Source organism: Homo sapiens, chromosome 1 (assembly GCF_000001405.40).
Source record: "Homo sapiens chromosome 1, GRCh38.p14 Primary Assembly".
Classification (NCBI taxonomy): domain Eukaryota; kingdom Metazoa; phylum Chordata; class Mammalia; order Primates; family Hominidae; genus Homo; species Homo sapiens.
In genome coordinates this window covers 65466727-65493163 of record NC_000001.11, presented here as the reverse complement: position 1 = coordinate 65493163, position 26437 = coordinate 65466727, and the positions used below count along the sequence as shown (strand labels likewise).

General features: G+C 38.3%; 1 protein-coding gene across 3 annotated transcripts in view, besides 1 other annotated feature; it reads right to left on the bottom strand.

Annotated features, from left to right (window-relative positions):
• The window catches only part of LEPR (leptin receptor), a 220908-nt gene that overhangs the window by 148396 nt on the left and 46075 nt on the right, over positions 1-26437 (bottom strand). The window lies entirely within an intron of this gene.
• Positions 25224-25780: an enhancer, noted in NCBI's record as "NANOG-H3K27ac hESC enhancer chr1:65933067-65933623 (GRCh37/hg19 assembly coordinates)". NCBI's record gives its function as "activates a minimal SCP1, AML or CMV promoter by ChIP-STARR-seq in naive and primed H9 embryonic stem cells {active_cell/tissue: H9 hESC(naive and primed)}" and the evidence as "EXISTENCE:reporter gene assay evidence [ECO:0000049][PMID:30033119]".

The following is a 26437-nucleotide window of genomic DNA, read 5'->3' as shown; positions in this document are numbered from 1 at the left end:
AATCTCTAGCTCCCTCTCTAAGTTGTTGGTAAGCAATTCAAAAAGTGTAGGGACAAAGTAGGGATGGCTAGACACTAGGTGTGATGCTGCAGAACAAACTGCAAGGATTTTCCAGGATGGAAGGAGGAGGAAGATCAGGAAAAGCTTCATGGAAAAGTGGAAGTTAAAGTGAGCTTTAAAAGATGGACGATTAATACCTAGCTGATGGGTTGATAGGGGCAGCAAACCACCGCGGCACAGATTTACCTATATAACAAAACTGCACGTCCTGCACATGTATCCCAGAACTTAAAATTAAATTAAATTTAAAATAAATAAATAAATATTCACTTTTTTGGAAAAAAAAAAAAGATGGATGAATTTTAACATATGAGATGGAGAGGAAAGCATTCCCATACAACAAGAATAACATAACCACTGAAGCTATACGAAAGGCCAGGAATCATGGTAACGTATACCTAACACATGCATTTATCTAAAATGTGGGAAAATTAAGAAAATAATATGAAGTAACCCTAGAAAGAAGACTATGGCCACACTATTAGGATATCTCAGGCCATAATGAAGCATTACATAAAACTAGTTTTGCAATTATGTTTTTAATGTTTTGGAGTAGAGAGAGAAAATACATAAAGGACCTATTTAAAGGCTTTTCAGTGACTTGAGTAAGAAGATTGTACCCAACATAAGGTTTTATCTTGATTATTGCTGTTATTCCCACCTACTAATACCTAGTACCTAGTAGGTGAATAATAAGTGTTTGTTCAATTAATAACTTCACGCATAATAAGGAAAAGCTTAATTCATGAAAGAAGAGAGCCTAAGCTAAGATAATGACAACGGTAATGAAAAATTAAAAACAAACAAAAAATATTGTTGAGACAAAAATCAACATGATTTAATATTAGATTGGAAGTGGAGAAAGAATATATGATTCTGGAGTTTGGAGCCTGGGTGCACTGGGGGTAAAGTAGAGAAGATAATGAGTCTTTTACCCCCACTTGTGCACAGAAAAGATTTTTTATTGTTAATCTTTCTCATATGAGGTATAAGCTATGGTTGAACTCGGTAAATACCCACAGTACAGAAAGGAGCACAAGAAATTGTTTATAATTAACATGAAATTGAATTTACAAATTATCTAGCTATACTTTTTGGAATGGGTAGAAACAGTATTCTTAGCTAAATTCTAAAAGGATTCTAAGCAACTTGGATGCTGCAGTGAATGGATAGCTTGGGTCCCACTCAGCTTTTCTCAACAGAAACACAAAACGACAAAAGCTAATTAAGTAGAAAAGCTGCCCTATAGCTCATCTCACAATTTTAGAAACAATCCATTTTACTTTAAGTACTCCTAACAGATACCTTCTAAAAGGCAAGGATACTGGTAAAAATGAAACTCAATGTTCCCAGCTCACAATGTTTCCATCTCTGCCCTGATGGTTGGTAAAATAATCAAGATGATCTACATACTCCCCACTGTAATGTCTGGCTATTTGCTAAAACAGACGTTTGGCTTTTACGCCATAGATACCTTGAGGTTCCCCTAGGCAGAAAATCAGAGGAGAAAGCGCTTTCCCTTAAAAGACAAAATCTTAGATATTGAACACATGGATAAATCTGACCATACCTCTCTTTGAAATTTTAAACTAAAGCATAGGTAAAGAATGATATTTGGCTACCTTAATAGTCACTTAGCAATAGTGGGTATTACTAAGAAATCTCATTTCTTGTTCAGGGTAACATAAGCTCGTTAGATTTTCCTGAAGTTTTACAATCTAAACCCAAATAGACTCAGACCTGTTAGCTGGAAATGGGGCCTCTGGTTAGAGTTCTTTGATCTTCGTGATGTATTCTGTGTACATACGAAAATAACTGCCTGTGCCATTTATCATAAAGGATTTTAAGCATATGACAAACACTAATCACTTCCCATCTGAACTAGCAGAAGCAGATTCTTAAGGCCAGGCTGATCTCCCTGCCAGCAACAAAGACTTTGTTAGGGTGTAGTAAGGAAATGGAAGCACATTATACAACCACATATATAATTGCATATTGTTCAGCCCACAGTTTTTATTTTGGAGTTGGAGTCTTGTGTTCAAGATCCAATCCAAGATCCATTCAATCCTCTGATTTCCAAATAGCATTCTCTCCCATTATTAAAAATCCATGGGCATCCAGATTCCTCAGCATCCCCTGTGAGGGTTATCCAGTGTTCCACAAACATGATAAGTTGTTTACACTTCTGAAATCATCGATATAGTCACAGTTCTTTCTCCTTCTCAGTTGAAACTGGGGAAACGCAATCAGGAAGGAGCTTGGAAGATACTTCCACAAGTCATCCAAGAGGGTGGAGACCAAAATACAAGCACTGCAGCTTCAAAGGCCTAGCCGCTGGCTAACAAGAACTTGTTTTTAGGCCCAAGGATAAAAATACTCAAGATGGGCCATTTTCCGTAAAATGCTTAAGAAGAAATGAAAAATTATAACAGAATTATTTGGAGTCTTAAGGCACCTTTTTCATCTTGAAAAGCTGTCATTTCTAATATCTCTTTCCTCTAAAAGCCATTCTTACAACAGCCCAGATTGAAACCACTAGGATTGAACGGGGAAAAGTTCAGAAAACCCACAGTGAATTAGAGAAAACAGTCTCTACACCAAGAAAACAGAAATTTAAGAAGTCCAAGGGAATTTGCTCTCACAGGAAAAGAAGCCTGGTATGTATAATCCTCCCAGAAAAATTCATATTATCCCCAAGACAAGGCTCTAAATAAACTGTGCTACCACTGTCAAATTTTTAAGATTTTTTAAAGTAACATTGGGATTACCAGAAAATGTAATGTGCCATTACACATTAAAACACTTCCCTTCCTTCTCTTACTTTGCAAGCTGTTTTTTACAGTTCTCTTTTGGTACGTGGACAGCAGCATCCCCCAGTAATAAAAACAACACTGGAAGCGATGACCTATTGGATATTTACTAGGTGCCAGGGACTGTGCTGAGTATTTTGTAGTCATTAAGTCTTTTAGCCCTCACAGTAATCACTATAATCTGGTAGTATTAATTATCTTTTAGAAATAAGAAACTGAAGCTCAAAGAAATTAAGAGAATTTCCGAAAGATTGCATACCTGAAAGGTAGCAGAGCCAGGGTTCAAACCCCTGACCTTAGTAGCACTATACTGTTTCTATTGCTAATGAAAATGGAGGACGCATCAAGTATAAACTTGGCTTATTGCCCTGGCATTTGGGGTATGAAAAAAAAATTGTGCCTTCTTTATCAAGTCCCCTCTCACCCATAAAACTGAACTCACAAGTGATAGGGGCCAGGGAAATCCCAACAAATTGGAATTACAGAAAAGCAGCTTGAAAATGAGTGTTTAAATGTTGGTTGATTTGGTTGAAGTAAAGAGTGGGATGGAGGAGATTAACTAAAAGCCCAATGAATGTGGGGAAATTCTCCAGGACATTGGTCTTGGCAACTATTTCTTGAGTAATACCTCAAAAGATCAGGCAACCAAAGTGAAAATGGAAAAATGAGATCACATCAAGCTAAAAAGCTTCTATGTGGCAAGAGAAACAACAAAGTGAAGTGACAACCCACAGAATGGGAGAAAATATTTGCAAACTATCCATCTGACAAGGGATTAATACCCAAATATATAAGTAACTCAAACAACTCTATAGGAGGAAAATCAAATAATCCAATTTACAAATGGGCAAAACATCTGTAATAAAAATTTCCCAAATGAAGACATACAGATGGCCAACAGGTATATAAAAAAATACTCAACAACATTGATCATCAGAGTAATGCAAATCAAAAGTGCAATGAGATACCATTCCACTGTAGTTAAAAAGGTTTTTATCCAAAAGACAGACAGTAACAAATGCTGGTGAGGATGTGGCAAAAGGGGAGTCCCTATACACTGTTGATGGGAATGTCAATTAGTACAGCCACTATGGCAAACAATATGAAAGTTCCTTGGAAAACTATAGAACTACTACATGATCTAGCAATCCTACTGCTAGGTAAATATCCAAAAGAAAGGAAATCAGTATGTTGAAGAGATATCTGCACTCACATGCTTATTGCAGCACTATTCATAGTAGCCAAGATTTGGTATCAACCTAAGTGTCCATCAACAGATGAACAAATAAAGAAAATGTGGTACATATACATAATGAAGTATTATTCAGCAATAAAAAAGAACAAAATCCTGTCATTTGCAACAACATAGATGAAACTGGAAGACATTATATTCGGTGAAATAAGCCAGGCACAGAAAGACAAACTTCTCATGTTCTCACTCACATGTGGGAGCTAAAAGTTAAAGCAATTGAACCCATTGAGATAGAGAGTAGAAGGATGATTAGCAGAGGCTGGGAAGGATAGCAGGGTGGGAGTGGTAGGGGGTGGGGAAATGAGTAATAGGTGCAAAAATAAACTTAGATAGAATGAATAAGATCTAGTATTTGGTAGCACAACAGGGTGACTATAGTCAACAATAATTAATTGTATATTTTTTAATAACTAGGCTGGGCATGGTGGCTCACACCTGTAATCCTAGCACTTTGGGAGGCTGAGGCAAGCAGACCGCTTGAGCTCAGGAGTTTGACACCAACCTGGGCAACATAAGAAAACCCTGTCTCAAAAAATACAAAAATTAGCCAGGTACAGTGGTGTGCACCTGTAGTCCCAGCTACTTGGGAGGCTGAGATGGGAGGATTGCTCCAGCCCAGGAGGTTGATTCAATGCTGTAGTGAGCCATAATCATGCCACTGTACTCCAGCCAGGGTGATGGAATGAGATCCTGTTAAAAAAAAGAAGAAGAAGAAGAAAGAAAAAAAGAGAAAGAGAAAGAGAGAGAGAGAGAGGGAGGGAAAGAAAGAGGAAAGAGAAAGAAAAGAAAGAAAGAAAGAAAGAAAGAAAGAAAGAGAGAGAGAGAGAGAGAAAGAAAGAAAGAAAGAAAGAAAGAAAGAAAGAAAGAAAGAAAGAAAGAAAGGAAGGAAGGAAGGAAGGAGAGGGAGGGAGGGAAAGAAAGAAAGAAAGAAAGAGAAAGAAAGAAGGAAAGAAAGGAAGAGAGAGGGAGGGAGAGAGGGAGGGAAAGAAAGAGGAAAGAAAGAAACAAAGAAAGAAAGAGAAAGGAAGGAAGGAAGGAGAAGAAAGAAAGATGAAAGAAAGAGAGAAGGAAAGAAAGAGAGAAAGAAAGGAAGGAAGGAGAGCAAAAGAAAAACAGAAAAGAAAGACGAAAAAAGAAAGAAAGAAAAGGAAAGAAAGAAAGAAAGAAAAAGAGTGGAATTGGAATGTTCCTAACACAAAGAAATAATACATGCTTGAAGTGATGCATACCCCAATTACCCTGAGGTGTTACACATTGTAGCCTGTATCAAAATATCACATGTGCCCATAAATATATATATACCTATTATGTACCTAAGATAATTTTAAAAAAAAATTTTTTAATTTAAAGCCCAATGAAGGGACAAGTTTAACCTTCAGTTTTATTCAAGATACACAGAGGTGACAGTCCCAAGTACATCTGCTGGTCTGTAAATGTAATCACATTTATTTATTTAAATATGGTCAACTTTTCTTTACTCTGGTACAACCTTACTTTGTTTTTTCCTAGCTATGTATATATATTTAGATTTAAATTTATATAAGATATATGCATATAAATGTATATATAAAACCACACATAACAATTCAAGTATCCAATATTTACTTACTATACCTACAACAACCCAGAATCTAAGAGGGAAACAGACAGTAGGCAAAATGTTCTTTCCACACTCAAAATAGATATGACAAACATCATGTAGTGCCCACATTCAGAGCTTACGAGCTTTTATTTTACTCATCATTACTCAATTCCACTGCTAATAAGTAAATGGAAAGAAAAGACAACATCCTTCGCAGCAGCAAAAAGTGACAACTGACAGACAAATAGTAAAAACTATAAAAAGTCCATTCACATACAGTAGTTGCTTAATATATTGTTGTTGAATGAATGGGTGAATGAGCAAACTTTCCAAAAATTCTATTATACAATTGGTTAAACTGCAGTTTGTGTGAAAAGATCTGGGTGTTTTAGTTATCTGTGTGCAGAATATGAGTCAAGAATTAGTGTTATATTAGATTGAATAAACTGTTTTATAGAGTGGTAGGAACAGAACTAACATAGGCAACCTTCAATAACAGCACATGTGTGTGTTTCTCTGTTTTTCTGTCAGGGTGGGACGGTGATTATTGTAAGGATTCAGAGATCTCAAAGAAATGAAGAACAGCTGACCATCATGGAAACTGGAGCCACGGGCTGGAAAGCCATCAGGTATCTGGACAGCCATATGGCCCACCTCATGTTCTCCCTGAGGTCACGTGTCTCTCATCTTTGTTACTCTTGGTTCTCCTAGAAATGTTAGCCTCCATGAGGCTTTAACTAGTCCTCACTTTCAGCCTTAGTGTTGGAACTTTCAGCTCATCTCCCCAGAGATAGGTCTTAATTCCAAATACCCAGGAGAGGAATTTGATTGGCCCAGATTAAATCAGATATTTACCTTTTCTCCAACAAGTCATGGCCAAGTGTGGCAGGGTAAAACGTTACAACCACTACTAGAGCAGCATTCAGGATTTATTCACTCAATCATGAATTTACCTGCTTACATATGATATGTGGTCCTTCACCACATGGAGCTCACATTTGAGAAGAGTTAATGGTCACATTTTATGCTTCACATGTCAAAGAAATATAATACTTTCTTTCAGTCACTCTAGTGGAGAAAAGAGAGAACTCATTTAGTCATTCATCAAGAAATTTAATGAGTACCAACTATATTTCCTACACAGCGCTAGGTGCTATGGTTATAATGGAGCACAAAATGAGACCCAATCCCTGCCTCATGAGTGAAATTTGACTGTTACCTTCAAATTTTAAAGTTTTTCATGAATAAAATATATATCTATTCTGTTCTGCTTTCAAAGGCAGAACTCACATCAGAGAATGAAAGTTGCATAAAGAAAAACGGCTGAATGAACTATCTGTTAGTAGATTCCAGAAATAAAGTTAAAATTCCCAGAAGATTGTGCTTCCCTCTCCAACTACAGCAAGTGGAGATAACTATGAAGAATATTACCAAAGTAATTCAGCATGAGAGAAAAGGTTTACAGTATTTGCTAAAGTGCCTTTTAAATCTAAGATTCCAAAATGGAGCTTTGGGGAATGGTGTTCAGAAGCACCGTAACTCCATCTGACACTCCAGTTCACCTTAGAGAGAGAGCTTCCCAACAGGCTTAATTACGTCATTCCCCATCCTCATTCTTCTTGGATGTACTGTCTGTACAGACAACATTGCAGAAATGTTCAAAGAGACCCACAATGGCTCCAAAAGAACATTTTTATAAGCAATATTGTAGACTGACTGTACAAATTGGTAATGGAAGCACTATAGGATCTATTGTGACTAATCTGATTTTAGAACAATACTGAAAATGGCACAACTTGTAGCAGACAGGAAAATGGGCTGACCTCTCAGAAAGAGAGAGAGAGAGAGTTTGTGTGTCTGCATGTGACAACAAGAAAAGATTTATGTAAGCAACCTTGAAGATCATCTGAACCCCACCTCCTATCTAAAAGGTGATGGTGATGCTCTCTATGGCAACAGAAAGATGCAAGAAAGCCAAGAATTTCAAATGCAGACTTTGGGGCCCACCACAGGGCAGAGGGTTTGGGTCCTGGCTCCCTCATCTTTGCCTTTTATTTCATTTGTAAAAAGGATATAATCACAACACCTACTGCACATAATGATTAAAAAAGAAAAAAATATACATAAGGCACTTAGCCCAGTCAGTGCCTGGCCCATGGTAAGCATTCAAGATACGTTAGTTGTAAATTAACATAATTATGAACGTGTGTTGACTGCTTTATCTGAATTTTCTCATTACTCTTCCCTGTTTTATAGATGAAGAAATGCTTTATGGATGAAAAGATTGAGACTTAGAGGAGTTAGCTAAATTGATCAATGTCAAACAGTGAGTGGCATGGATGGAATTTGAACCCCAGTAGATTTCAACCAATAATTTAAACCCAAGTAGTTTCCAACTACTTCAAGTGTATTCTCTCTGCCTGGCATCTTTACTATCCGGCTTCTGTCTGCATTTTTGGTCATATGAAACAAACATGAATTTAGTTGTCTGAAAGATAGTTCCTTTCACTGACCAGATAGCAGATTTCCTTATAAACATATACAGTATTGTGATGAATTTCAGAATAAAAATCATAGCAGTATCCTTTAACCATCCTTTTCTTCAAAAGAAGCATGCAATTTTCAGATTCTAGTAAACCATATTGAAGGATGCATCTGATAACCTATGTTTGCTCTGAAATTGACCTAAACAAATCTTGATCTCATTGGCTTGTTACAAAATATGATCTCTTTGGGTGTGGAACAACTTTCCTTCCCCATGAGTTATTATTGAAGCCAGAGGCTTTTCAGTTGCATGAAATACTCAGGATTCTGATCTGATGGCACTATGCCTCACCCAGAGTCCTCCTGTACCTTCGGTGTTCTTTATCATCATTCTTTCCTAGTTCATATTGACAAGTCTCAGTGTTAAAAGAACAACTGATGACGCTCTCTTTGTACAGTCCACAATAGAATAAATATTGACCAGAATGTAGGAAAACCTTGGACGTGTGACAACACTGACTTGAAAGCAAATCATTAGTTTAAAAAACAAGTGTGTGATAAACGAACTCTTTTTTAAAAAAAAAAGTGTGGGAGGCATGTATATGTAACAAAATTCCCAAATGATGTTAGTAAATTAGATTTTAAAATCTAGAAGTAAAATATTTTGTTAATTCTATTAAATAAGAGCTTATAAGGAATTTCATGTCCCCTGATTACACAAATATTAAGCTCCTACTATGGGCCAAGTAATCTGGGAACTAGGGGTATCGCAATAGTAGCCTAGTGGACGGATACAAACACACAATAAAAAAGTGTAAAGGCCAGGCACAGTGACTGGTGCTTTTAATCCCAGCACTTTGGAAGGCCGAGGCAAGAGGATCTCTTGAAGCTAGGGGTTCGAGACCAGCCTGGGCAATGTAACAAGACCCTACCTCTACAAAAAATTTAAAATTACCCTGCAGTGATCTATGACTGTGCCACTGCACTCCAGCCTAGACAACAGAGCAAGACTTTATCTCAAAAAAAAAAGGAGAGAAGGGAAAAAATTAAAAATTTAAAATGTAAAGTCATGATGAAGGTTATAAAGAAAAAAAAACAAGGAAGAAGATAGTGACAAGTAGGATGGGTGGTCACTTTTCAGATAAAATTATCAGAGAAATCATCTTAAAAAGATGACCTTTCAGCAGGCACTAGAATGAATGAAGAGACAGAGCCATGTGGATATCTGGAGGATGGATATTCCGGTAAGAGGGAATGGCAAATATAAAAGAATAATCGAGAAATACTTCCAAGGACTGAGGATGGCAAGAGTGATGGGAAAGTAGTAACAAGTGAGATTAGAGAAGCAAGGGAGAACCAGATCATACATACCAAGTCCTGGTAGGGCATTTTAAGGACTTTGATTTTATAGCGGTGGCCTTGATATAAGTTAATATTCACAGGCTGATGCCACACAAGCCTAAGGTTGTTGTGATATCGTAACTCCCTCAAAAACTTAGGAGACAGGCCTTATTCCTTTAGGTTAATTCCATGCTGAATCTATCATTGTCTAAGGTTCTCATTGTCCTACATCAACAGTTTTTTGTAATATCAGGTTGTATTTTTCCAATCTGATAGGTAGGAAATGGTGATACATTGTCGTTTTAATTTTCATTTCCAAGATTACTAAGGAGTTTGAGAACATGTCCATGGTATTGTCTTTTTCTTATTGATTTGTAGAAAAATCAATATTGATTTGTATATCTGAATACTAATTATTTGCTAGATACACACACGCACACACACACAACATTCTCCAAGTCTGCTTTCTGCTGTCCTTACAGTGTCTCCTGATGAACAGAGGTTCTTAATGTGCTCAAATTTACCAATCTTTCTCTTTATGGTTTGTGCGCTTTGTGTTTTGTCTAAGCAATATTTCCCTGCCCCAAGTCACAGATACTCCCTTTGTAGACTTTTACCTTCCACATTTACTTTTTTTTTTTTTTTTTGAGACAGAGTCTCACTCTGTCACCCAGGCTGGAGTGTAGTGGCACAATCTCGGCTCACTGCAACCTCCACCTCCCAGGTTCAAGTAATTCTCCTGCCTCAGCCTCCCAAGTAGTTGGGATTACAGGTGTGTGCCACCACGCCTGGCTAATTTTTTTGTATCTTTAGTAGAGACAGGGTTTCACCATATTGGCCAAGCTGGTCTCGAACTCCTGACCTTGTGATACGCCTGCCTTGGCCTCCCAAAGTGCTGGGATTACAGGCTTGAGCCATCGCACCCAGCCTCACATTTACATTTTTAATAGACATGGAATTGATATCTATGTTCATGGTAAAGTGAACATCCAATTCCACTTCTTCCATGTAAGTAACCAATTATTTCAACCCCATATGTTGACCAATTCCCTCATTTCACTGGTTTTCAGCAATGCCACCTCTGTCACATACCAAGTTTGTTATGTTCCATTGCTCCCTTGGTCCCTTAGTCCTCATACCAGTCACTCACTCACTTCTTATTTAATAAGCTTAATAATAAAATTTGCTTCATCTTTTTCAGGACAATTTGGGTCATTCTCAGACCCTCAAGTCATCTATATAAATTTTAGAACCAGCTTTCAAGCTTTGTCATTTCAAGCTTTTTAGTACAACACAGATTGCCTTCAGATACATATTTTAATCCCATTGAATATATTGTTCCATTTGAGTAGATACAGCATCTCAAAATATTTTGTCTACAAATTCATACATATGATATATCTTCTATTAATTCTGGTATTTTTAATATCTTTTAATAAATTTAATAATTGTCTCCATTAAGGTCTTTATTTTTTCAGCTCATTCCCTGGTGTGTGTGTGTGTGTGTGTGTATGTGTAAAATTGCCATTGTAAATTAAATTGTAACTTTTAATTTCAGCTCTTTTAGAGCTTTGTTGCTGTTGTATAGAAATACAATGTATTTGTATATTGATTTTTATCCAACAACTTATCTAAACTTTTTAATCAATTTTAGTAATGTATCTGTAGCTTGTTGTAGGTGTTCCATATTAAATCATCATATAAAATTTCTAAAATGCTAATTTCCTCTTTTTTCTTCTAATTCTTATACTCTTCTTTTTCTTGTTTTTGTTTAGGGTTTTAACTTTTCTTCTGGGGTGTTTTTTTTTTTTTAGTAACATTAGCAAATTACCTGAAAGATAATGTGTCTGAAGTTGTACCAAACTTGTACCAAAGTTGAAGTATATTTACATACCTGGAATAAATTGAACTTGATAATGATGTATTAATTCCTATACATATTGCTGTAATTACTTTTAAATAATATAAAGTCTGGGATTTTTGTACCTATGTCTTAAACATTGGTCTATAATTTACTTTTATTTATTATACCTATTCAATCCACTTTTAGAATGAAATGAGTTGGGCAACTTTTTCTTATCTTTTATTTTCTGATACAACTAAAGTAATATAGGGATTTTCTGTTCCTTGGAAAGTGTGTTTGGACTCACCTGTAAAACAACCACAGTCTCTATCTACTAGGAATGTGGTAGTAAAAGGAAAGGATTAATAATCATGTTATATTATTGGTGTATTTAATTTTCTATTTCACATTTATGCTGGGAAGTTGTGGGTTTTTTTTCCCCGAAACCCACTTTTCTAGACTGTTATGGGCTGAATCATATTCCTAGAAAATTCATATAAAGTCTTAATCCTCAATTCCTCGAATTGTGACTGTATTTAGAGATAGGGCCTTCAGAGAGGTGATTATGTTAAAATGAGGCTGTTAGGGTGGGCCCAAATCTAACCTGCCTGCTGTTGTTATAAGGAGATACATGTGACAGCAGGCATGCCTGCACACAGAAGAAAGACCACGTGAGGATACAGTAGGAAGGCAGTCAGTCATCTGCAAGCCAAGGAGAGAGGCCTCAGGGGAAACCAAACCTACCAACACCTTGATCTTAGACTTCTAGCCTCCAAAGCTGTGAGAAAATGCATTTCTGTTGCTTAAGCCACTCAGTCTATGGTATTTTGTTATAAGAGCTCTAGGAAACTAATATATACGTATTTATTGGAGTGTAAGCTAGTTGTTCAAAACATTTTTTTCTTTCTCTCTTTATCATGTATTTTGCTTATTCATATCTTTTCTTTTTTTCTTAACCTTGCTAGAGATTTTTCTGTCTTATTAAGAGTGAACCAGACCTCCTGGTTCAGATCCTGGCTCTGCTATTACTGGTAGTGTGAACTTTGACAAGCTACTCAACTTCTCTTAGCTTCTTTTTCCTCTTTTGTAAAATGGGGATAAATATCCTCATGTATATATCTTTAATATATAAATAAATAGGAAAAACAGAAAATCTACTCAAACCTATAAATTTCCTCTGCCTTAGCGACTTCCAGTAAATTTTGATATGAGATACTTTCGTTATCATTCACCTGTGGGTATTTTGTATTTTCCTTTTAAATTATCATTTACTGCAAGGGTTAACTGGCACCCTGTATTCCATTTTATTTTGTTTCCAGAGATAGGGAGTGTTTTGTCTCCCTTCCATTATATCTTAGCTTCACTCTAGTCCTTACTGGATACATCTGTCTCCATGCAGCTCCTGGTTCATAGACACCATATCTTCTTGTACTTTTCTGAGGATGCCAGACTATTTCTTAAATATTTTTCTGGATCCCAGACTAGCTGGTTTTCACATGTGTATTCTTCCTCAAAAACCATCTCGATACGGTTTTTCTTTGTTGCACAGTATCTTTTTTTTTTCTACCATAGGAATTGTTTTATTTTTCTTCTCTACTTCTTGAACAAGGCAAGACCTATTAAAGCTCCAGGTTTTCAATAGGTAGGTGGATGGAGTTTCTGTTGGTCCTGCTCATTGTCCATTGGTGTGGTGGTTGACTACTTTTCTCAAATCTAGAACTGAAGGGTAGATTGACAGGCACTGCTCGCATTCTAAACCCTAGATTCTAGCTGGCTTCCTTCTGGCCTGCTTCTGTTTTTCATGGGTTAACACGTTTCACGTTCCTTCCACCTGACAGAGTTGTTTTTTTGTTTGTTTGTTTGTTTGTTTTTTGTCTTGTTTTGTTTTGTTTTTAGTGAGCTAAACTGATTACATACCTACTAAGATCAAGTTTCTTTTTCAACTTAAACCTTCAGGACTGTATTCCTGGGAATTGCCTTCTTAGAAAGCAGTGAATGCTGCTGATTGTCTTCTACTTTCTGCCCAGTTGTTTTGGAGGATTTGTGGTTTAGTATCTACCTGGCATTAAGAAGATGACAGTTGAGTTTGATGACGGATATACAGAAGATCAGGAAATATGTACTCTGTCTTAGAAAGCACTTTTAGAAAGGCATACAGGGCTTCCTCAAAACCCATTTTCTTTATTGTCTGAACAAGTGAAGAAGTGTAAACTACTGCTCTACCTCTGGTCAGGTAGATGTCTCTGGAAGCGAAGCTGGTATATGCCAGATACGCTTTGGAAATTGCTTCATGATATGTCCTATCTCTATCATTTTCTTACATGTTACTCTGGGGACAAGTTTATTAACCTCTCTGCCTCTCTCGGTTTCCTCACCTGTACAAAGGGGAAGTGTACCTCTATGGGCTATTATAAGGCATAAAAGTCATAATCCATATAGAATACTTAGAACTATGCCTAGATTCATAAATGTTCCATGATCATTATTTAATAATGCTGCTGCTGCTGCTATTGTAAAAAAAAATATGTCCTGTACTAAGAGCTATGGGACTTAGGTGCATTTCTATCTCCTCCAACTGAATAATCCTGAGCTTTATTTTCCTCCCTGTGCCTTTTTCCATTTGTAAAATTACAGTGTTGGGATATACAATCTCCAAAATCCTGCCTGCTCTGACATACACACCGTGGAAGCTGTAGCATCACTTTGCTTCATGAATCCTCTGGGATTGGAAATTCTTTATAAGACTGTATTAAACAAACACAACTCTTTCTGAATCCTGCAAAACGAAACTGGACCTGGGACAAGTATTTTAACACAAAGTTCTATTTGTCCTCAATCTTGTTTGGCCCTGACCAAATGTAGGGTGTGATTTTTTTCTTCTCCACTCCTTCTTACACAAGGCAAGACCTACTCAAACTCCAGGTTTTCAACAGGTGGGGTGAGTACAGTTTCCATTGGTCCTACTTGTTGCCCATTGGTATGGTGGTTGACTACTTTTCTCAAATCTAGAACTGAAGGGTAGATTCACTGGCGCTGATCTCATTCCAAAACCCACCTTCTAGCTTACTTCTTTCTGGTCTACCCCTACTTTTTGTGGTTAACATGCTCCTTCCATACAACTGAGCTGTTTTTGTTTTTGTTTTTAGTGAGCTGAACAGATTAAGTACCCACTAAGATCAAGTTTCTTCCTTTCAACTTAAACTTCAGGACTGAACTCTAACTGAACTGCAGACGAGCAAGCATAGGAATGTGTATGGAATATGAGCCACTTTGATATTGAAGTTGGCATGCAGCAAAAGCTGACTAAATACATCTCCCTGAAGCAGAGGTCCACACAAAACAATTTGGGAAAATGAGCTCTAAAAGCCTTCAAAAGACCTCTTTCTACCTACCATAATTAACCAGTGTTTAAGAAAACATGGCAGCCTTTTAGATGTAATATAATTTTACAGTTTTCATTGTGATTCCCATATTTATATTCCACATAATAGAGTGAGTTAGGATGGACGGCCCCATTACCCAACCAAAGGGGGACTTGGAGAGCCAATAATTGGCAGAGATGTCAGTGGGACCCAGGTCTCCCAAATCCTAGCCTGGGTGTTTTTCCACTAAACTTGGTCTTCCTCTTAGTTTTTATAAGAAGCCCTTCAAGCTCTTGCACATATTTAGGTCAAAATTACTACTTTCAGACCTATTGTCTGATTTGGAAGGAAATCTTGTAATTACAGGATGACTTCAAAACAATATTCAATTGCATAATAGGAGTGTGGGTTGCATGTTTTGAGCATTAATAATACTAAGAAGCCTTCCATTTATTTGGTTGAACAAAAATAGTAATCCAATGTCCACTACCCAAAATGGCCCAAGTAACTATAAAAGCTACTCTAAAGGGATGAAGAGCTGTGGGAAATGACTAAATAGCACTGAAAGCAGTACTCTGCTCTTTAAAAGTTCAAAAATTAGGCAATCTGGGTGAGAGAAAGATGTGATCTAAAGGAAACAGGACACAGCCCTGAACAAATTCCAGAACTCATAATGTGGTCAGGTTATACAATCAAGTGCTAAAACCAATTTTGGGGCATTGCTTTAAAAAGCATTCCTGTTGAACCCATTTGAGGGCAGGTGGCCTCTTCAGTATGGCCTTGCACTTGTGTATGGCACCTGCCCTTGGCCCCAGGCACAGTGTACACTCCTTTGGTGTTGCAAGTGCCTGCCACAGAGATCCCAGGTGGCATTCAAGGGATGACTCAAGGTCCCACCCATTAAAAATATACCTTCCACATGGCACTGCCTTACCCTTCGTGTAGAAGTGGAAATAGTACAGCATTTCTGAAGGGCACTTTGACAGTTGTATTCATTCAGGTATCCATCATTGGACAAAGAGATACTAAGCTACCTCTCCATGCCAGGCACTCTGTTAACGACTGTAGATACTGAAGTGAGCAAAGTAGACAAAAATCTCTGCCCTTATGGAGCTGACATTCTAGTATGTATGTGGAAGTGGGGCCACGGGGAGGTGGGGAGATAAGTTACTCTGAGGAAGCAAAGTAAATTAAAAAGTAATTAATAAATAGAAGGTAAGAAATTCTTTGGAGAAAACTTAAGCAGTAATGAGGACAGGGAATGGAGGTGGGTAAGGAAAGATCTCACTGATAAGGTGATACCTATCCTAAAATTATGTCTAAAAGATTATAGCTACAAAAAAAGAAGAAAAACTGAATGGAAACACATAAAGTGCAATTTGTGGTTATCTTTAGAAGATATTTGCGGCAATTTTCTGTACTGTGTTCTGCATATGTGTGCTTGTGTGTTTTTAATTAGTTGGAAATTTTGACAATGTACTCTGGCATCTTTATTTCTTAAAAGACCCCACCAAGCAATTCTGAGGCACAGTAAAATATAAAATTGTTTTCTTCGCACCTTACATTTTAAGTTCTATGCTCAAAAAGATTCTAGTAGTTCTGGGCATGCTGAGTTCAACATTTTAAGTTATACGTATTTTTTAATTGCCCTGCAATTCCCCTCAATTGGGTTACTGAAGAATTATATGTAAATATCTCATAGTGCATTGTGAGAAATGAGTTATGTAATCCATGTAAAGAGGTTAGCATCAGGCTCAATAAATGTTTAGCTGCCATCAGTGTTATTATTGTTAGAGGCTTAGTGGAGAACTTGCTGTTTGATCTGGACCTTGAAAAAGAAATGGGTAAAGGATGTGGATAAAGGTCAGAGGGTGGATTATCCAGGCAGGAAAAATACATTGGCAAAAACATGAGGAATGACCTCATTGTGAGCAAAGGGAAGTCTCCCTTTCATTCAGTAGACCTTTACTGAGCTATTGGACCACAAGCTCCGGGAGTTCTGAGGCTATGTCCACCCCGTTCACTGCTTTATCCCAGCACTTAGTACAGCACGTTACACAAAAAGAGCTGTAAATATTTGTTGACTGTTCAAAGTATTTTAACCACCACTAAAAGCATGTTCATTTTAGATGTGTCCTCAGGCAGCTTCTGTGACATCAGTTGTCATTTTAATAAAGAGCTAACCAGAGCCACTCTAAGAAAATGAGTTCACCAAGATATATTCAAGCTACAATAAAATGTAATAATTTTTGGATTTGTATGCAATAACAACTCATTCATCTAGTATGGTTAGGAAATTAGTAACTTATTTATAATGGAAACATCCCTTTAATGCTAAAGGTTTTCAATTCTATTTTAACCAAGTTGGATGGAAATATTTTTAATTTGGGGGGTTTTTTGTTTTGTTTGTTTTAACACAGGGTCTCGTTCTGTCACCCAGGCTGGAGTGCAGTGGCGTGATCATGGCTCACTGCAGACTCAACCTCCTGGGCTCAGGCAATCCTCCCACCTCAAGCCTCCCGAGCAGCAGGGATTACAGGCACACACCACCATGCCCAGCTAAATGTTTGTATTTTTGTACAGATGGGGTTTCACTATGTTGTCTAAGCTGGTTTCGTAATGGTGGGCTCAAGTGATCCTCCTGCCTCTGCCTCCCAAAGTGCTGGGATTACAGGTGTTAGCCACCATGCCTGGCCTATTTTTAATTTTTATTACAAATATCTGTGGCTTTTTGAACACTGCATATAGAACAAAATTGATCCCTTTAATGAATCTGTGTCAGTTATGAAACACAAGCTGTGAGCAGCCAAAGACCACCTTTGACTAACATATTTTATTAGAATGTTTTAAAGTAGTCTTCCAAATTAAAAGAAAATTGGACAACCAGTCTTGAAAAGGTCAGGGACCATGCAGCTCCAGGGTTCTACGTGGAAGGGAAGAATTCAGGATACCACCATAAGGATGAGCCAGCCCAGTAGCTTTGTGTTGGCTCTGCTCAACATCCAAATTCCTGCAAAAAGGTGACTGACTTGTCTTGGACCATAAGCTCAGCCTTGTTCAGGAGATGGGAAAGCTCCTTACATGATGGTTCCTTTGGAACAGAATACAAATTGGGAAGGGTAATTTTCTGAAGAAAAATCATAGTGCTGCCTCCAGAGGAGAGCAGAATGAATGCTGAGCATGTGAAAACACGGAAGTCCAACACAATAATGAATAATCATTTTGAACATCAATTATAGTATTAACTTGTAATTCAGTAATGTTCTTGAAAACTGATGTTTAAGGCTATCTTTCCCCTTTAATTAGTGGTCTCAGGCTTCTTTACTTTTTGAGTTTCTAATTTTTATAATTCTCTTGTCTTTTTTTTTTTCACCTTTCAAAATGATTATTTTCTTGCTACTTTTTTTTTTTTTTTTTTTTTTTGAGATGGAGTCTCGCACTGTCGCCCAGACTGGAGTACAATGGTGCGATCTCGGCTCAGTTCAACCTCCACCTCCCAGGTTCAAGCAATTCTCCTGCCTCAGCCTCCCAAGTAGCTGGGATTACAGGTGCACGCCACTACGCCTGTCTAATTTTTTGTATTTTTAATAGAGACAGGGTTTCACTATGTTGGTCAGGCTGGTCTCAAACTCCTGACCTCGTGATCTGCCCGCCTCGGCCTCCCAAAGTGCTGGGATTACAGGCATGAGCCACCGCACCTGGCCTTTTCTTGCTACTTTCAATTTACCCACTTTGGGCAGTCTCCATCCACTTTCTTCCTCTATTTGGCTGTGGACTGGGAAATGAAATAAACAAGCTTGTTAGATGTGTGTATGTAATGGGACTGTGAATAAGTATGAGTCTATGAGTAAAGCACATGATAAATGCATAGACTTGGTGTCATTTACATTGACTGCTCAAAGACTTCTCTTGCTAATGTTTAGTTGTTTAGCTACTTAGATAGTGACCAGATGAGGAATTTCTCTGTAAATGATATGCTACCAATTATAAGAACACATGTCCTTTTTATAATTGCTTTAAATTCATTTTCACCATATCATTGAAAGGAAGGAGAGGGCAAATATTTGCTCAGTTTTAAAAGTATGAAAAATGGAGCCACAGAGGGCTTAAGTACACTGGGGAAAGGCTAGTGCTGAGCCCCAGGTGTCCTGGTTTCCATTTTAGAAGTTAGTTAATAGATTCAGCTATGTCAATATCAGGAGATGTACAGAATCATAGGTCAAAGACAGCTTAAAACTTCAGAGATCACTAGGGGATACAACAAGTGTATGATATAGACAGAAAAGCACAGGGAAAATTACATATGTGACTGTAAAACACACATACGAAGCTGTTAACAGCACCCACAGATGGGAACAAACATTGATTTCCCTGTTCAATCACTTTTAGCAACAACTTGGATAAAGATACTGAAAATATGTTTAACAATTGCAGGTGACACAAAATTGAAAAAGATTACCAGTATATTTAATGAGAGAACCAAGATCCTGGCTGAAACTACTGGCTAAAATGTAATATTGATTAGACAACATGAATTTTTCAATTTCTTATAATTATAGCTAACATTCTAATTTACAAACATGATGTAGGGGAAGTCTTACTTGACAACAATCATACGGGTTTTGGTTTGCTGCAAATAAAGAAATAATAATACCATTTATTGAAGATAGTGCCAGCATCATACTAAGTGCTTTATATGTACTATGTCAAGTCTCACAATTCTAAAACATAGGCATCATCATCATCCCCACATTGTAAGTGAGAAACTGATAATTTGAGAAGTTAGATAAAATGCCCCGAATCTGACAGCTAATGAATGTTGAAACCAGGTGTCAAATCTACCTAAATCCATGTCTTAACCAATATGCTGCTGTTATTATGTAAAAATAAATGCCATTATTAAAAGATTCAAGGAAGTCTCTTTGTACTACTCATTTTAATTGAAGTATGTGATTGTCATTTTCTAGGGGTCAATAACTTTTGTATTGATTTATATTTTTATAGAGATACTGTCATAGCATATTCTGAAAGCATTGGAAGGCATGCCATATGAGAAATCAATGAGAAAACAGAAGAGTCTAAAAGGTGCCTTCACATATAGAAATTTGAAACAGGAATTATGCATGGTGTCAAGAAATTGGCCTAGGCATTGGATTTAGCCAGACTAGATCCTTCTCTCTTAGCTGTGTGACCTTGTGCCAGTTCCCTCACCTGTAAAATGTGCAGGATGATCCCTGCCTGCCACTAATGTTGCAAGTGTTACAAACAATGCATATGAAGCTCCTTGGCACAGACCCTGGCACAGGGCAAGCCGTCAAGAGTATTATCACTGCTTTTTGTGGAAGCTAAAGAACAATGGACTTTACCTCAGTATTAGGAAGAATGGCACCTGTCAGAAAGATAATTGGCTGCCTTGTGAGGCAGTAAACTTCCATCCCTGGGGGCATTTAGCCAGCATTTATGTATGTATCTTAGAGGAATACTGCACTGCATTAGATGAGTTTTTGAATTAGATGCTATCTGAGGTCCCTTTTAAAGATGAGATTCTGTATAAGAACAGATGTGCTTTGCTTCATCTACAAAAATGTACTAACCAACCAGCAGTGGGACATCCTCATCTTATCCATTCCCCATTGAGCAAAGCGCACATCCTTTCCAGAAGCCGGACAAGGTAGAGAACTCTTTGCAACCCCAGGTTGGTGCACACTCTTCATGTAGTTAAGCAGCTCTGAAGAGAAAGTGGCTTTGGCATCAATTACACTCTTTTAAAAAAGAAATATATGTGTGTGTGTGTGTGTGTGTGTGTGTGTGTGTCTATATATATACACTCATTTAATTATTTATTCTGAGAGCATTGATATTTCATCAAACATCAAATAGCAATGCTGTGTGCTATGCACACAGGTCAATCATCTACTTCATTCACCATTTACCTATGGCTATAAGTAAAAAGTATATTATATATATATTATATATATACACACGTGTGTGTGTGTGTGTGTGTGTGTGTGTGTGTGTTTTAGCCACAGCTAAATGACCCAGAGGAATAAGGTTAGTTGGATTGGGAAGAAATGGAAGGGGAAAGACTGCAAGTTAATTTCTCCATCCACTCCACCCGTTTTCCCAAATGACAGCCCTGTTTATGAATTACACCATCTGGTCTGAGTTGCCTCATTTTACTACCTCACTCTAGCATGACATTAGTGAATTGATTTTATGCCTTATGCTTTTTTAAAAAAAACGGATGTTTGGTAATACCTTCTAGATACATGATGTTTTGAAGACCTCAGTTGCTCTTTGCTTTATCTTTTGAACCAAATTTCATAGTATTTATTCACAAAGGCCAAAAAAAATTTTACTACGTTACTAAAGTTTGGAAATTCTTCTGAGGTGATGAAAAGAGTAATTACAAACTGACTTTAAGCCTTGGGGAAGTGTTTTGGGCATTTTGTTTACAGGCCAGAGAGATGAAATCTACCTCTTTGAAGTCTTCCTCTTGACACATTTCTGGCCAGACTAAAGTAAAGTAATGAGATTTTCTAATATCACGGGATGTTATGTTTCTATTTTGAACTTTGGAAAATTTTTACCATTTGAAATTTATTAAAGTCAAATTATTCTGTATTCCACATGTTACTCCTGCCTGTAAATCACTTCCCCTAGCTCATGACCAGACTATTTTCTACTCATCCTTCAGATCTTTGCCAGAAGAGTTCATTACTTCATAGAGCCTTCCCTGACTACACTATAGAACTTTGCTTGCAAGTAGATCCTTCTTGAAAACATGATTCTCTGTTTGTCCATCAAAGATTTGGTCAAAGGTCTTTTGGAAAAACAGGTCAACCAGGTCATTTTTTGACTGGCCACATGGGCAAAAGCATTCATGTACAAAGGTCATGAGCAACACAAACATTGTAGAGGCACAAGACCTGCCAAAGTTTCATTACTACATTCCCTAACGCTTTCTGGGACTATAATGTTATCAAGATAATGTTTTGGGAAAGTACAAATTATCTCAACATGTGGGTGTATTTAACCAATAGCAGTCGTTTCCAATCAGTTTGTCTTAAAGATTTGCCTTTTGTTTTTTCCATGCCCTGACCCCACAACCCCTTATCATAAATGTATGAGGGCAGGGACAAAGTCCACAGTGCTCCTCATCTTACTCCTACTGTCCAGCACAGAGAAGGCATTCAATAAGCAATCAGTCAGTAAATGAGTGGATCCTACCTTAAGTCTGGTTCTCCTTGCATGCAGACAAATTAGGAGTGATCAAACCAAGAATACATAAAAACTTTTATATCAGCAAGGGAAGTTTGATTATCACATAAGTAACTGTTTAAGCCAGCATTACTTGGTTACCAGTCATCAGGAGTATTGTCTTTCTTTACTGCCACATACAAGAACACTTCTGGAGCTCTTCCAGGGAAACTGCCTTCAGAAGCTGTTTTTTGAACCACGTGAAGAAGACTGTCTCATTAATTTTTACTCTTACCCACTTTACTGCTCCCAAATGACTATCAATCATCCACTTCACTCACCACACTTAACTTCAGATAATTCCTTATATGTTTTTAGAATTACCTAGTTATTACAAAATATTTTGCACATTTTTGAAATAAGGTTAGGACTTTCCCCTACACTGATGAACTTGGATAAAGAAAGCACTCATTTGGATATCGAGAAAGTTTGTTATTTAACTTGTTGCATAAAGTTTAATTCCTGTTACATATAGATAAAAGAGTTTTCATTATAAATCTTAATGGTAAAGTCATAAGCAATGTTGGGTAATCAGTGGTACATCATCCCACTAAAATCAGAAATTTCCCTCTGTTTGCTTATTTAGGAAGGGGAGCAAGGGTTTGGGAAGGGCCCCACTAGGGATTTACATTATTCATTCACAACTATATCAAGTTTGCCAATAGTTTCTACTAATTAATAAGTGTTTTCTCACATAATGAAAATGAGATTAGAGCTACTCACCAGGCAGAACTAGAACCAATGTTAAGTTACAAAATATCAACTTCAACATTGTTAGGAAAGACCAGCCAAAGATTACCGAAATCCTATTTAAAATACGTAGCTGCCAATTTCCTGGCCTCTGATTTTTGTGCTTTCACCGTGAGGGGCTTACCATAAATCCTAGAAATGATACTTGATCTCCTTGGTGATGGTGGTGAGGTAGGAGTAGTTATTTCAGCCCCTCTTGGGCTATTAAAATGTCAACATTGGCACAATAAGTGTTTAAAATAGAATGCTATTGTTTAGGGAGGAATGTGGTCAGCTAGTGGCCCAGTGGAATTTGAGAGTTTCAAATGAAAATAATGAACTAGAATTTAGGGGAAAGGATGTCTAAGGGAGGATAAGGAAAGCAAGCCAGGCAGAGAGGGAAACATTTCCCCCCAGAATAAAGCCTTTTCATTTTGTTGGCTGTATGCCACGCTTTAGAAGGCTTCCCGGCTGACTCTGACCTAATCTCACATCAAATATCAATGCTGTGTGCTGTGCGCACAGGTCAGGCCTGGCTTTCTCCATTTTAGCAGTTCTGGATCAGTGCAATAATCCTTGGAGGGTCAAGAGGCACTGAGAAAGAAATGAGAATGAGGATGAATACGGCACGCACTTATTGGTGTTAAAGCTCAGTGTCCACAGCAGTTGACTGGGCCCAGATAGGCCAGCCTAGCCCAGCTGGAAAGTGTATGTATAATCAAATAACTGCACACAGGCATATGCATACACACTGTTTTGCTAAGTGTTAGGAATGGCCACTCTCACCTTAACCCAATCATTCTAACTAGACTCAGTGCATTAATTGACTCTACCTTGCTCTTTGTGGCTGGAAAGTTCTGGTGTAAATGTCAAATTTCTCATTCTATCTCCTGATTTCTGCCCTGTACTCCTTCAAGAGAACCCGAGTATTTAGTCATCTGTTGCCAACAGTATATATTCCAAATACTCAGGCCCATCCTTATCTGGCTCCAGCCTAACTTTCTAGCCTGATAACTACTTCTGCTCTTCATGATTCTTTACTCAAATCATCCAGTCTCCAAAACACACCCTGTGATGTTCTAGTTCTGGACCTTTGCTTGTGCTCTTAGCTCTTTGTTCTCCACATTGTCCTCAACTTTCAAGTACAAGCTCAGTTATTTACTCTCACAGAATGATCTCATCACAGCTCAGGACACAGACTGACTCCATGCTCTACACCACACAGACACAGCCCTGCCTCATCTGTATTAGCCCACCGGACTCAGCATAGCTCAGGTTGACAGAAATAATTGCAACCTGGTGGTATGGACTGTGTGCAGTCCACAGACACATTTCCTTCAACACAGATTGGGCATACATGATGATTAATAAAAACTTTCTGAAATAGTTGCCAACATTTAAAAAGCAGAATTTTCCACATTCAAAAAGTAAATCTAGATTTTCAGCTTCTTTTGAAATACCAGAAAATGCATCTCAGTTCACCTTCCCGCACAGCAAAAATCACCCGGCACTGAACAGAGCAGCAGCTGTTCTGCTATTTGAGGCTTGTGTCTCCTATTAAGCATAGCTCCCAGCACTTTCTTATTTCTTATACCCAACTTGCTTTGCTCATTTAGACTTCCTAGCTGGATGCTATGGGGATTTGAGTTTGCATGTACACAATGCATCCGCATGTGCACATACACCCAGGTCACACCAACGAACTGTTGAACCTTACTCTCCCATTCATACGGTTCCATAGAGCTATAGCTCCTCCAAGGAAGAGCCCTATGACAGCAGAGCAGAAACAAACTGAACACCATAACTTGGCTCCAGCCTTCTCCCAACCAAATGTCATCTCTCTCCTCCCACACCAGATAGGAATACAGGTTCTAGTCCTCTGTGGATTTTGCCTCAACTCTCTTTTTTCCAAGGTTACAAAACAAAAATACTTACTCCTGCTCTGCCATCAATTTTTTTTAAGGAAGCTTTTTATTTTAGAATGGTTTTAGAATCACAGAAGAGTTGCTAAGAGAGTACAGATTGTTCTCGTATAACTATACCACATACCCAGTGTCCTCTATAATTTGTAACCACTGTAAACCAATTCTAATACATGAATATTAACTAACATCCATACTTTACTCAGATTTCTTTAGTTGTTCAGAGTTTCCTAACCAAATATCCTCTTTCCCTTCCTCAGATCCATCCAGGACACCACATTACATTGAGTCAGCATGTCTCCTTAGTCTCCTCTTGGCTGTAAGAGTTTCTAAGATGGGCAGTTGCTTCCAAGATGGCCAAATAGGAACAGCTCCAGTCCGCAGCTCCAGCGAGATCAATGCAGAAGACAGGTGATTTCTGCATTTCCAACTGAGGTACCTGGTTCATCTCATTGGGACTGGTTGGACAGTGGGTGCAGCCCACAGAGGGTGAGCTGAAGCAGGGCAGGGCATCACCTCACCCGGGAAGCGCAAGGGGTCAGGGGATTTCCCTTTCCTAGCCAAGGGAAACCATGACAGACTGTACCTGGAGAAAAAGTACACTCCTGACCAAATACTGTGCTTTTCCCACAGTCTTAGCAACCAGTAGACCAGGAGATTCCCTCCTGTGCCTGGCTCAGCAGGTCCCACACCCATGGAGCCTTGCTCACTGCTAGTGCAGCAGTCTGACCTGTGACACTGCAGCTTGACTGGGGGAGGAGCATCTGCCATTGCTGAGCCTTGAGTAGCTCACAGTGTAAACAAAGAGGCCAAGAAGCACGAACTGGGTGGAGCCCACCGCAGCACGGCAAGGCTCACTGCCTCTATAGATTCCACCTCTGGGGGCAGGGTATAGTAGAACAAAAGGTAGCAGACGGCTTCTGCAGACTTAAACGTCCCTATCTGACAGCTCTGAAGCGAGCAGTGGTTCTGTCAGCATTGTGTTCAAGCTCTGAGAATGGACAGACTGCCTCCTCAAGTGGGTCCCTGACCCCCGTGTAGCCTTACTGGGAAACACCTTCCAGTAGGGGCCAACAGACACCTCAAACAGGCAGGTGCCCCTCTGGGACAAAGCTTCCAGAGGAAGTATTAAGCAACAATATTTGCTGTTCTGCAGCCTCCACTGGTGATACCCAGGCAAACAGGGTCTGGAGTGGACCTCCAGCAAACTCCAACAGACCTGCAGCTGAGGGGTCTGACTGTTAGAAGCAAAACTAACAAACAGAAAGGAATAGCATCAACATCAACAAAAAGGACAGCTACACCAAAATCCCATCAGTAGGTCAATAACATCAAAGACCAAAGGTAGATAAAACCACAAAGATGGGGAGAAATGAGAGCAGAAAAGCTGAAAATTCCAAAAAATAGAGCGCCTCTTCTCCTCCAAAGGAACATAACTCCTTGCCAGCAAGGAAACGAACTGGACGAGAATGAGTTTGACCAGTTGACAGAAGTAGGCTTCAGAAGGTCGGTAATAACAAACTTCCCCGAGCTAAAGCAGCATGTTCTAACTCATCCCAAGGAAGCTAAAAACCTTGAAAAAAGGTGAGAAGAATGAATGGCTAACTAGAATAAACAATGTAGAGAAGACCTTAAATGACCTGATGGAGCTGAAAACCATGGCACAAGAACTTCGTGATGCATGCACAAGGTTCAATAGCCAATTCAATCAAGTGGAAGAAAGGATGTCAGTGATTGAAGATCAAATTAATGAAATAAAGAAAGAAGACAAGATTAGAGAAAAAAGAGTAAA